This window comes from Homo sapiens, chromosome 16, assembly GCF_000001405.40.
Source record: "Homo sapiens chromosome 16, GRCh38.p14 Primary Assembly".
In the NCBI taxonomy this organism is placed as follows: domain Eukaryota; kingdom Metazoa; phylum Chordata; class Mammalia; order Primates; family Hominidae; genus Homo; species Homo sapiens.
In genome coordinates, this window is record NC_000016.10 from 55,818,019 (window position 1) to 55,833,512 (window position 15,494).

At 49.1% G+C, this 15,494-nt stretch overlaps 1 protein-coding gene across 4 annotated transcripts in view; it reads right to left on the reverse strand.

Moving 5' to 3' along the window:
* The window catches only part of CES1 (carboxylesterase 1), a 30,246-nt gene extending 15,168 nt beyond the window's left edge, over positions 1–15,078 (reverse strand). For 2 of the 4 annotated variants that reach the window (NM_001266.5, NM_001025194.2), the window contains exons 1-7: positions 14,986–15,078; positions 10,749–10,953; positions 8,133–8,277; positions 5,532–5,665; positions 3,350–3,503; positions 2,354–2,461; positions 1,517–1,621 (exon numbers count right to left, since the gene is read on the reverse strand). In NM_001266.5, the coding sequence (NP_001257.4) occupies positions 1,517–1,621; positions 2,354–2,461; positions 3,350–3,503; positions 5,532–5,665; positions 8,133–8,277; positions 10,749–10,953; positions 14,986–15,037 (903 nt within the window). In that variant the 5' untranslated portion in view covers positions 15,038–15,078. Of the gene's footprint in view, positions 1–1,516; positions 1,622–2,353; positions 2,462–3,349; positions 3,504–5,531; positions 5,666–8,132; positions 8,278–10,748; positions 10,957–14,985 lie in introns of all 4 variants that reach the window. The other 2 variants (XM_005255774.3, NM_001025195.2) reach the window with 1 other exon arrangement.

The following is a 15,494-nucleotide window of genomic DNA, read 5'->3' on the forward strand; positions in this document are numbered from 1 at the left end:
AGCCTGAGCCAAGACCTAAGCACCAATACCACATTGGACTCAACTCATGGAAACACAAGCAGAGTCCAGTGATAGAGGCCAGCCCTGGGATCCAGGAGTAGCCTCAGGTCCAAGGAGAGAGTCCAGGCTACTCCTGAGCTTGGAATTCACACTCTTCCCCCTCAAAGGGAATAGTTCCCAATGGCCCTGGGTGCTGTGTCATCTGGGTGTTTGTCCTCCTGGTCTTCCCTGTGATGAGAGACTGCCATGGCCATCCAACAATCCTAAAGGTCCCCAAGTCCTAATATGTGAGGATGGCAGGGAGCAGGGAAGGCAGAAGATACTCTAGACCCGCAGGTGTCGGTTCTGGGTCCTACAGTGTTGCCTCTGTGACTAATTTGAACTGTGACATGGGGCAATTACAAAATTTATCTGTCTTTGTTACCTCTGTTAAAATGGGCACAATGATCTGAAAGCTGAATTTCTCAGGAAAGATAAGGTGGAGTCAGGATTAAGGGCATGAACTCCTGAATTCCACTGTCTGGTCTCAAATCTGGCTCCTCCGCCTTCTCTGTGAAGCATCCCTGATTACTACAATGAATGCTTCCCCTCTGTGCTGCCACCATACTCAACCTGCGAAGTATATGAATGTATTTCTCTTTGGATAGTTCCTTGAGAGCAGGGACTATGTCCACTTCATGTCTGTTTTGCTACCTCTAACACCCACCCCTACATATTTAGCATGGATGGATGGATGGATCAATGGAGGGATGGATGGAGTTGGTCAATACATGGAGTACAGTTGAATTGAATGGATACATGAATAGATGGGTGAAAACTAGCAGACAGGCGATAATTGGATTGTTGATTTTGGAGGAATGGGTGATGGAGTTGAGATATAAGGTGGCTGGATGATCCATGAATGGTGAATGGATTGAAAATAGATAAATACAAAGTTATGAATAGGTTGACATTAGATTGATAAAAAGATATGAGTGAATTGGATGAATTAGTGAACAGATAGATGGATAAGACAATCATAGATAGACGGATTAACGAATGGGTGGATGGATGACTATCCTAGGATGACAACTGAGTCAGTCTCAGAAAATCTAGAAAACTGGACCACCACTAGGTCTAATACAGACAATTTCTAAGTCAACCAAGATAAATTGTGACATCTTTCTGAAAATCTTTGAGCTTAATATCTCCATCCCCCAAATTCAGGATGATGGTGTCCCCTGGGAATATGTAACATTTAATTTCTTAAAAATACATCTGAAAACAAGAATGGCAAAATATTAAATTTTGGTCAGGACTGGGGATTGTTACACAATTTTTTATCATGTTATTTTTTGACTTTCTTTTTTTACATTTGTGGCATTTTACAATAAAAAAGGACAAATCAGATTCCCCATTCAGATACTGAGAGTTGAGAAATTGTCCCAGGAAACTGTCCCTGGGCAAGAGGACAGCTGAAATGAAGAAGTCTGGGACCAAGTTTACAGGGTTTGGGCTACGGGAACAGGCAACCTACCATTTTCAATGTCGTCTCCAAGAGCTCCTCTTCCGTCTTCTGTCGCAGGCAGTGAACCATGACAGCAGAGGTGGTGGTTTTGCACCCAGCAGTGATAGCAATTTGCTGCAAAGATCACAGGCAACAACAGAGTTCAAGAGCGACATCCCTTCCCTCCATCAAAGAGGAAAGTGGCATTCTATCCCAAGCCCAACTTGTACTAGTGGCAGGGAGCAGCAGAAGATACTGTAGACCCGTGGGTGTGGGTTCCAGGTCCCACGGAGCGTTGCCTCTGTTACTAATCTCAATTGTAACATGGGTCAATTATGTAATCTCTCATCTCTGCTACCTTATCTCCATTGAAATGGACATAATCATCTCAAGGTGAATGTGTCAAGAAATGTGAGGTGGAGCTGGGATAGAGAGCATGGAATCCTGAATTTCCTTGTCTGCTTTCAAATCCTGGTTGTTCCACTTACCAGCCATTAGGCAGACCCAGAGAGACACAAGACACCATCACTGCCCAACATGGCACCAGGCCCTGGCACATAGGAGGAGTGTGGTCACAGATAGGGCACTGTACTGGCTGCTAGGGCCATGAGCTGGAGTCCCAGCTCTGCCCTGATCACCTGCTGCCCTTGGCAAATCCCTTCCAAGCCCTGTGTCGGTTTGCCTGGCTGTGAAACTGGGACGCTGATCAAGGTGTCTCCTCGCCCTTCCTGCTCAGCCATTGGTGCCTCAGTGATTCTAGGAGAACATTAGCTACAACCGACCACAAGAGAGATCCCTGAGGATTCAGGAGCATAGAGCCAAGGAGGTGGGGGTGTCCAGCCGGAGACGTACCAGCCGGAGACCTACCTCAGCCAAGGGCTTGACATCACCTTTCTTCACCAGAACAGAAGTGAGGGCCACGCCACTCTCAGAAATGGCCCGGTGGAAGAGGTTCTTGGCCAATGGAGACAAAACCTGACAGCAGAGTGGAGGGGAGGAGAGTTCATGCTCAGGAGTGGGGTCAGTGACTCACTCGCTATTCCAGGCTAGATCTACTCCACTATAAAACCAACACGGGACTGAGGAATCCAGTAGTGGGCTGACCCTCTGCCCACCTCAAGGAGGTGGAAGTCTTCCTACAGCTCCCAGCACCTCTCATCTGGGTTTTCATCCCAGATCCCCCAGTGTCTCCTGAACCCAATCCCCAATCCCAGCAGGACCCCTCACACCCAAGGTTGTGTCTATGACCCACAACCCCTGCCCCATCCCTCCCTATCCGCGGCTCCATCCCTCCTTCCTCTGCCTGCCTCCCCTAGCCCACTGGACCCCACAGTCACAAAGACTGTCGCCTCCTTCTTGGGCATGGACAAGCCATCAGACCACCCCAGAGGAATTCCCAGCCTGCTCAGTGTCCATGTCCCCTCCACATGTAGGTCTGGTTTAGCCAAACAATGACCTCTGTCCACCTCTTCTCTCTGCCTGCCCTTACTCATAATTTATGCCTATTCCTACTTCCCAAGAGAAGGGATGTGAGTCCTTATGTTAAAATGAGTGTGAAGGAGAGAGAGAAAGAGAGAGAGAGAGAGAGAGCTCAACCAAGCTGGAAGAGGAGAATGCCACCATTGCAGGCTGCAACTGGAGATTCATATGGCCCCAGGACACTAAGCTGAGCTCTGAGCTTCCTGGGGGCCAAGGAGAGCTGGTCTTTAGCTTTCTACCCCCTGATGCTGGGCTGTGAGTAGGGCCAGTCCTGAATTCAGGTATTGTAATCAGAGGTATCCATAGCTGGATTGACAGGTGTCCAAGAGGTCTCATCAGCATCACATCAAGCGTGGGGTTGGGCCTGGTGACAGGAAAACTCACAAGAACAGAGACACTTTCTCCTCCCGCTGACTCTCCAAAGATGGTCACAGAGCCTGGGTTCCCTCCAAAGCTGGCAATGTTGTCCTGGACCCAGCGCAGGGCAGCCACCTGGTCCAGGTGACCCCAGTTCCCCCGGCTGTGTTCATCCCCTGTGCTGTGAGGAAGAGAACAGGTTGAGGGTGGGGAGCAGAGATGTCATGCAGGACCTTCAGGACCACAGATGGGGCTAGGGGTTCTCAGTGAACCCTTAAGAATAAGGCTGGGCTTCAGCATCTCTGAGACCCTGCTTTCATTAGTACAGCATTGTGGTGATGTATGGTTCTACATTCACACAACTGGCAACTATTTACTGAGCATCTACTGTATGCCTGACGCTGTCTTATGAGCTAGAGCACATCTGAGAGCAAAACAGGCAAAACCTGTGATGACACTGAATTCCCACTACAGATCACAAGCAGATAAACAGATACATAGAGAGAATATAATGATGTCAGGTAGTCAAAGTGCACTGAGGTAAATACAATGGAGTAAGGAAAAAAACAGGAGTGGGACAGGGGGTGCCATTTCAGATCCCAATCAGGGAAGGCTTTTTGGAGGCAGTGACATTTGAGGTTTTGGAGGCAAAGACCTTCATAAAACAAGCACAATGAGCACATGAACCTTGTAAATATCCAAAGAAAGGAATTCCAGGCAGAAGAAAAAGCAAGTGCAAAGGGCCTGGGGCCCAGTGAAAGAAAGTGTGAGTCAGGAGGTGCAGCTAGAGAGGGCCCTGGGGCCTGGCAAGAACTTCGGCTGTCATGGTAAGGAGCATGGGAAGCCCCTGCAGGGTTTTGTGCAGAGGCATCGCATGATTCAATGCATGTGTTAAGTGATCACTCTGGCTACTGTGCAACTCAGCTTTATATAAAAGTGGCAGGGATCTGAAAGTGTTAAAGATCATAATCAAGGTGACAGACAGAGAGCTTTGGCTGGGCTAGGAGCCAGGGAAGAGGTGCAAAGTAGGGGACTCTGAGTGGATTCTGAAGGCGCAGCCAAGAGGGTTGTGAGAAAAGAGACAGTCCGGGCTGTCCACAAGGCCTTCTCCTGAGCCCAAGGGAGGATGTGGCAGCAGAAGCTGAGTGGAGGCGTGGTGGGAGGAGAAGGGGGTCTCTGTTGGGGAGGGGCAGTGGGAGTCAAGGATTCAACTTGTCCCTGGGAAGAGTGGGGCACCCTTTAGACAGCCAGGGGTGGGGAGGAGGGAGTGAGTGATGCCTGTGGGCTTCAAAGGTGAGGTGGGCTGGAAACAGGGGCTCTGGCTGCTCCCTGGGATCACTGGGAATTAGTAAGGAGGGAGAGGGAGACAAGAGAGGCCTGTGGACAGGGAGGAGGGAGGACCAGGAAAGGGGCTGGGAAGGAAGCATGTCACAGAGGCTGAGTGGCCATCTGCTGCTGCTGGGAAGTCCTGAGAGGTTGGGTGGAGAGCAGGGGGAGGTCATTGATGACCGCAATGAGACCAACTGAGTGGCGTGTTCAGGAAGAAACCTGACTGGCATGGATGGAGGAGAACCTTAGAAAAGGTTCATAGCAGTTGCGCCTTGAAGGAGATCTGACTCCTGTCCCCATGGAGACCTGATGGGAAGACTCCATCCTTGCTTCCCACACTTGCCAAATTTCAAGCAGAAAATGAGCTGAGTGGGTCCCAACACTCCCACAGGAAGGGGTCAGATGCTCCCACACCCCACCATCTGCAGCCCCCATTCCTTCACCCACAACATGCCCTGAGCTCCCTCTGTGACTCTGCCCCTTCCCTCCTTTCCATGAGAAGTCAGATGTGTCAACCTTCACCTGCTGGGCTGACTGCTAAGTGTCATGACAGAGAAAAGCAATGTGCTGGAGAAACATAGGTGAAGAGGAGATGAGTCTTTCAGTGGAGGTAACTGGGGGCTGGGTCTTGCAGGATGAAGAGGTGTTCTTCGGATAGAATAAGCATTCCAGGCAGAGGGAACAGCACATGCAAAAGCTCAGAGGCAAGTGGATGAGTGGCTGGGTAGTGAGAGGGTAGGTAGTGTCCAATTACGAAGGGGCTTGGATGCCTTACTGTGGAACCTAGCTAAGCTCCCCTGAGGGCTGGCATGACAAGAGCTGGGTCCTAGCATCCTCGTTCTGGGGGCCAAAGTGCAGTGAGGAGAGTCCGATTTCTTACCTGAAGAATCCCCAGATGCCCAGGCGATATTGAATGGTCACCACCACCACGTTTTCATGGGCAGCAAGGGCCAGCCCATCATAGGTTGATGCCGCACCCACCATCAGCCCCCCTCCGTGGATCCACACCATCACCTGGGCAGAGAGGAAGCAACATACCAGTTACAGGACACAGAGCCAGGGAGCACTCAGAAGATGTCTTGTTTGGTGACCTACCTGTTGGTTACAACTGAAGGAGGATGCTATCCAAAGTTCACCAGCTCCCAGCAACTTTGCAAAAGGCAATCTCTCTCCTGCATAATTCTCCCAACTGGGACCCAAGCCACCACCCTACTGCACATACCCTGGCTGTCCCTTCCTTTCTACCCAGCCTCCAGTGCCTCCTCCCCGAAAGGCTCTTGATGCTGAGAACATCATCATGGGCATAGCAAAGGCTAAGGATGTCCTCTTCGGGAGGACACTCCCATCACCCTCAAGCCTAGACTATTCATGCACTCAGCGTACCCATGGGGCAGCCCTTGTATCTCAGCTTCATCTCAGTTAACTATCTCTTGGTGAAGTAAACTTCTCTGTGCATGAATGATTGTCTCGAGAAGCACACGTGCCTGTGATGGTGTCTCTTCCTCAAATGCCTCCTTATGCCTCTGCATCCCCAAATCCTATCCACCCTGCAGAACCCAGCCTAAAACCCACCCACTTCAGGATGCCTTCAGTCAATGGACTAACACTGTCGAGAACTTAGCATGTGCCAGGGACTCTGCTAATACTGGAGGATGAGAGTGGATACAATTCCTCATGCATGATTCTTGCATTTTAAAAGTCCACATAGTGGGGAAGAAGTGAGAGTGGCTAAAATAATGATATTGTAATAATATTATTCATGAAATATAAAAGAACTCGTAACATAAACTATGTCCCAAGTGCTGTTCTAAGCACAGTAAAATAAACTATACATTGGGTAGGTACTAATAATGTCCCATTATCCAGGTGGGAAAATGGAGGCACTTAACCTGCCCAAGGTCCTACAACTCAAAAGTGGTAGCAGCAGGACTTTAACCCAGGCAGTCTGCCTCCAGAGTCCACATGTTGAGCTGCCCAGCACACTGCAGGCGCCGGCCACAGTGCAGTGAGTCCACTGTTAGGGCAGGGGTATGAGCCTGCCTCTGCCTTTTTAGCCAGGGACTGAGATCACGCTTAGTGGTCACCCTTGACTGATCATATGTGATGATTCCCATTTTGAGGAAACAGAGGCTTAGAGAAGTTAAGAAACTCCCAAGTCTCTCAGCTAGTCAAAAGCAGAACCAGGATTTAAACCCAGACCGTGTAGTTCTAGAGCCTGTGGCCATTCCTGGAGGTTCTCCTGACTCCAGGTTCCCAGAGCCCTTGTTTCTCCCACAACTCTAATCCCTGCCTGCCTCCTGGGGAGGGATTGAGTGTGCATTCATCTTTGTGTGAAGACTGAGCCTGAGGGCTGGCCTGCAATAAAGTGCTGAAGGGAGGATATGTCTCTACAGCCCAGAAGGCAAGATCCTTGAAGGCAGGGGCTGTGTGGAGTGGATTCATGTTCCTCCTTTCCCTGAAGCCCCAGGTCTAACTGTGTATATGGGGCACTGAGTACACAATAGAAGAATGAATGAATGAATGAATGAATGAATGAATGAATGAGTAAACCTTTCTCTCACTTCCTGTGTCTCACAAAGCACATGTAGGACCAACTTCTAGTTCCACGTTCGCAGACCTGCTCCCCCACTCCTAGGCACCATGCCACGGTGCCCCTGGGAGACTGGCTAGACACAACACCCCTTGTTTTTTCACCCTGGGTGCCTCCTTTGCCAGCAGACCCTCCCCACCCTCCAACCTGCAGCTGGCGGGCTGCCCCATGTCCTGCCCTTCATTTATTTGGGAAATTCTGACTCACTGGGTCATCAGCCTTTGCCAAGACAATTAGGGAGGGAAATTAGGTACAAAAAGAAATCCCAGCTATTTGGCCAAAGGCAAAAGGAAGAGCTTCTGGGATTGTCCAGGCTCCGCCCCCAACATCCGTACCTGGACAGTGAAAGTTACCCCAGATGAATGTTGCTGTGCTGGAGAAAGGCCACATACAAGCTCAATGCCCTACTCCATGTCAAAAGCACTGATGTGAAGATCAGAAGACTTGAGCCAAAACTACCCTACTGGGTGACCTCCCCTTCCCTGTCTGGGCCTCAGTTTCTCTATTTGAAAAGGAAGAGTTGGGGTGTTGGCTTTTCTCTAAGTTCTTTCCACCACTAACATTGAAAATCATGTCTTACCCAATCTTGGTATCAGATTTTTAATCTAGTAACTAAAAGTAATCATTCTCATCCTTCTATTAGCATGAGGGAACTTGGAACAATTAAGATGTTCATTAAAGATGCAAAACAAACTCCCCCAGAGTGCCTATGTCACGAGGGTAAACTGATGTGTGGAAAACCAGTGTTTCCTGTGGAGGCCCTGGGGTCTCTGAAACAATCCTGGCCTGTGCAGCTCCCTCCCCAAGCTGCCTTCACTCCCTTCCATTCTGCCCCAGAAGATGCGGGGTACTGGCACTGACACGCCTTGACCAGGGGGTCCCACAACTTACCGGCAGCCTGTTTTTCTTGGTCAAGTCAGCAGGAGTGTAAATATTGAGGTAAAGACAGTCTTCAGAAAGCTTGAGAGGAATGTTCTCCTTTCGGTTTGTAAATAGCTCTGAGAGTAACTGCCCCGCCTTGGGATCTTGGGTGCACCTGGGGAGGGGGAAAGAAGAACCCCTGAAGTTCAGCCAGATCTAAGCGAGGTGTTTTCTACGGCAGCGCCTTGGACTGGGAGGTTTAAGCCTGGAAATGGACTTGATAGTTACAGACTCACGACATTGTAGTGGGTAGGAGGCTATCAGGGGCTTCAGGTGGGGGCGCTGGGACTCACTAAGGTCTCCTAAGACCAAGCAGAGTGAGAAGGGCTTCACACCTCTTCCCTTTCCAGAGCCTTTGGAACTCCCAGCATCAAGGAGGGGAGACCACTAATACACTGATCCTCCCTGGGAGGTGACATTTCTCACAATAGCTCAGGGGTGATATCTTTGTGGGACAACATCAGGAGAATTGTGCTCTAGTTTTGTCTCTCCCATGCATTTATGGGGTGACCTTGGGTGAATTCCTTTTACACTCTGCGTCCCAATCCGCCAGGTCTAAGTGAGCGGAGTGATTTCTACATGAGTCTTGCAGCCCTGACATGCCAAGATTCTACCACCTGCCTCTCCCAGGCAGTTGCTGTTGTGTTGCCCTGATGAAAGATCTCAAGGATGCAACATAGATGAACACTGGTAATAGTTATTTAGTTCTCCCAGTGTTCCAGGCACTGTTTTAAGTACCTTTTGTATATTAACTCATTTAAGCCTCAGACTAGTCCCATTAGGTAGGTTCTATTATCTCCATTTTACAGATGAGAAAACTGAAGCCTAGGCAGGTTAGAGAACCTGACCAAGGTTACATAGCCAGGTAGATCCATGCCATGTGGTGCTTATACACAAGTATATTATAAGCAACAGTCCCAGACCTCAATGTACCAAAAGGCAGTCATCACCGCCCCCACTAGGTACATGAGGAAACTGAGGCACTCAGACTCTGGGATGACACAGCTCTCAAGTGACAGAATCAGAGCCAGCAAAGATGACTTCTTGATTCCATCCTGGGAAATTTTCCTAAGATCACCAAGTGCAAGAGGAATAACAATAATAATAATAATAATAATAATAATAATACATTCCAATGTGAAGAAAGGAAAAAAGAACTCACTGGTCTTCAGATAAATGCAAATTAAAGAGGAAAATAATATTGCTGGTATTGTTATTATTATTTTGCCTATACAATAGCCAAAAATATTTTTAATAATCCCAAGCATTGCCAAGAGTCTGCCAAATGGAGATGTTCATACGTCAATGGGAGGAGTGTAGTTGGAATATTTTGGGAGGGAAATCAAACAAGAAATATATACTCTTTGACTCAGAAATGTCATTTCTGAGAAGTTATCCTAAACTATTCATGAATGTGCATAAATGTTTCACATTCATGATGTTATATTATTAAAAACATCATATATAACTTAATGACCCCAAATAAAAGCTTGGGGAAATTAATTATGGTTCAATACCCAATGTAATGCAGCTTTTAATACCAGGCTGTGCTATTTAATGGCATGGAATTATGCTCATGATATACTTATAAATGAGCAAAGCAGGCATCCAAATTATCTCAATATAGCATTCCCTTTTAAAGAAAGAAAGTATATCAACAGGCAAAAAAACTGGAATACAAACAATATATTACATCATAATACTTTACCATCTAAAATACTGATAGTTGTTCTCTCTGGGTGGTGGAATATTGTATGTGATCTTAATTTTCTTACTTTCCTTTCTCTGTATTTCCTAAATTTTCTGTAATAAGTATATATTACATTTGCACTCAGAAAATAAAAACAGTAAACATTATTTTTTAAAAAAGGGAAGAAAAGAAGGCGGCCACTGGTGGGCTGCTGGAAAGCCTCCGAACACCTGGCTGCTGAGATGAGCAGGGTCTGCTCTGATGTCTGTAGGGTCCTTCCTACCCTGGGGAGTGATGGTGAGGCCAATTAGAACCTTTGGGCTTTTCTTCCCAGCTTGGCCAGGGTGAATGGACACACCTTCCATTGTTCTCCTCAGGAATAGGCACACCTGAGAGTTGAGCACTTGCCGAGTGGACACCTCAGTACACTTGCCACCCACACACCTCCTGGCCCACTCCTCTCCCCGACTATGTCAAAATTCAAGACAGCAGAATTCATGGGATCCTTCCTTCTGATCTCCCTCACCTGCTTAACTGCTTCTTTGTTTCCAAGGCACTTTTCCTGTTCTATCATATCACATAATCCACGGAGTAATTTGCATATTGTTCTTATCTGTCTCCCCCTGCTAGAATGCACGCTCCAGGAACCTAGGGATCTTTGCTTTTTCACTAATGGATCCCAAGAACCCAGAACACGCCTGGCACACAGCAGGTGCTCAATAAACATGTGTTAAATAATGGACTCCAGAATGCTGTGAGAGTTCTGGAATGTTCTTAAGGATCTACAAAGATCTTAAGGAGTCCAGAGCAAAGGATCAGCCCGTCAGGGGACTGCCTTGACTCCTTCCTGCATCACTTTGAGGTAAACATCCCCAAGGACACATGCCGCAGCTTACATAGGAGGGTACGAGGTGGCATTCTTCACAAAGCTCCATGGTTCTGCAGGCTGCGGTGGAGTAAACCTCAGGGGTCCAAGAGGCGGCTTGGCAAAAGGGATTCCCAGGAAAATGGCCACAGGCTGTGCAAATCCTTCTAAGCTGACGAACTTCCCCAGCACTTTGCCATGCACGGTGTCCACCACAGGTGGCGAGGACGGATGCCCTGCTGGACATGGAGAATAAATCAGGATGCATCAGAGGCAAAAGGCTGGACCCAGATTCCAGGTGGAGTTTGCCGCTTTCTAAGTGAGTGACCTTAAATAAGTCACCTAAACCCTCTAGGCCTCAGTTTCTCTTGATGTACAATAGGGATGACGATCAATGTCCTCCCTAACCCATTGAGCTGGTTTAATGGGCAAACTAGAATTGGAGGCATAAAAACATCCAGCTAAAAATAAATGCAAGAAGGAGAGCTACTAGGAAAGAACAAGACATTTAGCTTCCCCCTTAGAAGTCTCTGGAAACATTTATCCATTAGAATCCTGGCACTGAGCCGCATGCTGGATGAGAGGATGAAAAAGGGGTGTCCCATATTCTCACAAGCACTGACCATTATAGGGAAGGGTCACATATACACCTGGGGCTACAGCTGGGAAGGAAGTGGCCATGTCCTGGGAGAGGTACCCATAAGGCAGTCTAGGAATTAGAAGAGGGGGCAAGGCCTTCTGATTGCGGGCATCATGGAGGAGCTGGGACTTGCGGCAGGGGAGGACTGAATGAGGGGAGATGAGAAGCAGAGAGTGGTACACAGCAGAGAGAAGGGAATTTGCTGAGGCTCAGAGCAGCAGAATGCAGAGCCTGCCTGGGGAAGGGGGCATGGCCCACATGCACCAGGTGGAGTCTGGGGGGAGTGGAAAATATTCCTGGAATGAGACCGCACATGTCAGGGAGGGCTTAGAATGCCAGGCTAAGCGCTTGAGTTTTCTTTAATGGACAAATAAGCAGCAGGAACCGTTCCAGATAAAGGATGTGATCAGGTCAAGGAAGATTCTTCTGGTGGCCCTGGGCAGGTCTGCTCCATTCTTGCAGCACGGACAATGTTTCCTCACTGAGCTGAAATTCATTTCCCACAGCCTCCGCATCAGTTCTGGTTCTACCTGTCATGGGACTATACTGGCCTGATCTGATCTGCAGCCTGTGGCCTTTCAGACACTTGATCTTGCTGCCCACCCCTCAGGTCCTATCTGGCTCCAGTCACCTCAGTTTCTCTGAGCTTCCCTCCTAGGAAATGATTTCCAGCCTCTTGTCCTCCCAGCTGCTCTGCTTTGGATACAGACAAGACGTCAACACCTCCCTCAAAGTGTGGGGCTAGAGCAGAACAGAACAATTCAGATTTGGTCTTAAAGGGGAATATCCAATCACAATGGAAACCCATTATGGAAAGCCCAGTTACACAACAGCATCCATGTCTCATCTTATTAATAGCCAACCCTGCAATGTCAATATTTAGCTTCTTTTCTTTTGTTGTTGTTGCTAATTACAAATAATACTGAGATGAACTTCCTTGGAAGCATGTTTATCGACATAGCAATGGGTGGTGGCATTACATGTGGCCTGTTTTCTTGGTGATTTCCACCTTTTCAGCACTGTATGGGATTTCCGGTCTTCACCTGAAATCCTCCCCCCCATCTTAATTATTTTAAAATTTTAAATAAAAAAAGAAAAAATATGTAGAAATATGATGATGTCTAAAAGGTATTTTGAAAGACTTGGAGACCAGGCACAGTGGATCACCTGTAATCCCAGCACTTTGGGAGGCCAAGGCAGGCAGATCATTTGAGGTCAGGAGTTCAAGACCAGCCTGGCCAACATGGTGAAACCCCCTCTCTACTGAAAATAGAAAAATTAGCTGGGTGTGGTAGCATGTGCCTGTAATCCTGGCTCCTCCAGAGAGAGAGAAGAAGGAAAGAAGGAAAGGAAAGATGGAAGGATGGAAGGAAGGAAGGAAAGAAGGAAGGAAGGAAAGAAGGAAGGAAGGAAGGAAGGAAGGAAGGAAGGAAGGAAGGAAGGAAGGCAGGCAGGCAGGCAGGCAGGCAGGCAAGTGGGAGTGAGGGAGGGAGGGAAAGAAAAGAAAGGAAAAGAAAAGACTTGGTCCCTGACCAGAGGTGGGGGAAATGGAAGGGAAAGAAGACCAAAGAGCTGGCTTGTAATGCTGGATCCCTGTTTACACAGGCTCGGTGGAGATGTGAGTGGGATATCCAGGCAAGATGATGCCACAGGATGAGCGCACTTCAAAGCTGGAAGGAAGCCTGGTGAGGGAGCAGGGCAGAATCTTCTCCTGGACTGTGAGGGTACATACGGTGGATGTGTATGGCTTCATTGAAGATGCCAGTGTGAGAGGGAAGAGAAAAAAAAACAAAGGTCAAACACAGGGACCACTACGGCCAAGACCAAAGATCCATCAGAATAGGGGAGAGAGAACGTTCCCATGTCTTTGAAGCCCAGGGAGCAAGAGGGCGAGGAACCAGCTAAGAGTGCTGAGGACTTCAGGGAGGTGGAGGAGAGTCAAGTCAGAGAAGAAACCACTGGGCTGGTCATGCTCAGCTCAGGGATTCCCTTCAACAGGATGAGGTGGATGGCAGCCAGATTGCCAAGGGTGAAAAAGTGGGTGAATGGGGGGAGGCAGAAACAAGTGTGAGAACAAGACCAGTTGCTGCTGATGTTATATGAAGCACGAACATGGTGGGCACCTACTATGTGCCAGGCATGCATTCCAGTTTTTTAAATTAATCTTCAAATAAGCCTTGCTGGGTAGGCATCAACATGCCCATTTTACAGAGGAGGAAACTGAGGAAGTGGAGGCAGCCTGTATGGTCTTCCTAAGGAAGGAAATGGATGGCATTGCCAGGAGTAACCAGAGGTAAAGGAACATTCAGTTCCAAATAGGCTTCCTCTCTTCTCTGCCCTTCCCCACAGTTCCAGAGCTCTCGCAGTGTCAGGCTGCCAGAAGGAAGACAGGATGCAGACGGGGCTGGGCTGTCAGGATTCAGGACCCAGAGACAGACCTAGGCGTGATTTTCGGGTTGACCCTGGGCAAGTACATTTCCCTGTGTGAGTCTCAGTTTCTCTGTCTATAAAATGGCATGGGGGTATTTCGAGGCCCCTCGCTGCACCCCTCTATGTACCATGTGTTTTGCTTTCTGTATTCTGATGCTCTGGCATCTGAGGCCTTGTTGACCTTGGAGAAACTCCCTCCCAGGGTCCAGCCACCCCAGAGCCCACACCCCAACTGCCTCTTTGATCGGGTTGCCATGCCCTGGCCACTACCCACCTGCCCTAATCATGCCAGGGCTAGGTACAAAACAATTAGGAACAGCCCCTGTGCCCCAGAGCCCCTGAAGTATCCCAACTTGCCAGTCCTCAGCCTGCCTGCCCTGCCTTTCCTCTTCTATCCTTGGAAGCCACAGTAAAAGCCCCTTGGCCTCAGATCCGCCCTGTCCCCTCCCCAGGCTCTGCTGCTTCCCCTTGTGCCCCGCGCACTGGTGTCCCCCTCCTGTTGAGAACATGAGTAAGAAACTGTCTTTTTAATGGCAAGAGGTCCTGATATAGTGGCCTGACCACAGCTCAAATTTTCTATTCATACACTACGTTTTTAAACAGCGCCTTTATTTATCCATCCCTTTTTCGTGCTTTCTACATACCAGGCGCTGCCAAGAGTGCTTTAGAAACAGCCACCCATTTCCTCCTCACCAAAGCCCAGTGAGGTAGGCAGCACTGCCACCTCTGTTTCAGAGAGGGGGTAACCCAAGCACGGAATAGCGCAGTCCCTTGCCTAAGGACACACAGCGAGGAAGCGCCCAGCGGGGACTCGAACCCACGCACTCTGGCTCCAGAGTCGATGCTCTTAATATTATGTTGAGCCGCTCTCCGTGATCCAGCCGTAAGGGGACTAATTAAGGGACAGCAAACTGAGCTGCCTAAATTTCTCGTGTGTGCGGCCTGAGGTGGGCCGGCTGTCGGCCTGCATTTGGGCGAGCAGTACAGGGCGATCTCAGGATGTTCACCCTCCCTGCGTCTCCGCGCGGGCCAGGCTGGCCGGGCTCAGCTGCTCCAAGTCCAAGTCCTAATATGGAAGTCGTGCCCCGCCGCAGAGCCGGACCTGTTGTGTCTTTGCCTTTCTACGCATCTGCGCCCACCTCGGCCCAGAACAAGGATTTCAAAAAGTGCCCCGCATTTTGATTTCAGAAGGACTCACCCCAAGCCGCGGAAGCAGAGAGAGTGGCCAGGATAAAGGCACGGAGCCACATCGTGGAAGGGCGACAGTTCTCGGGGCCTGCGAGGTCTCTGTGCAGTTCAGAGGGACTGTGCTGTCCAGCCCTGGAGCCCAGCCCCGCCCAGAGTTACCGCCCTGCGCTGCCAATTGCCTAATCCTCTAATTGGGAGAGATCAGAAAAGCCCTCCCTTTCCTCAGATCTCCCTGGGCTTCTAGTGGGGCCTCAGGCCACGCCCACCCACAGTTTACCCTCTTTCATCAAACCAGTCTGGACTCTACTGTCAGATTACAGAGAGCTGTAAACTTGCCCAACTACTTGTTACATAAGGGTTCACCCTTGCAGGACTCTAACCTCAGTGCACTGTGACGGCCCCCAAGGGCCCACACCAGCAGGCAGATGCTTTTAGGCAAAGGGAAGCTTTGATCTGAGGTCCTCAGAAACAACTGGAAAATGTTAGAGCCACTCACACCTCACAGCTCAGCTGGGTAAG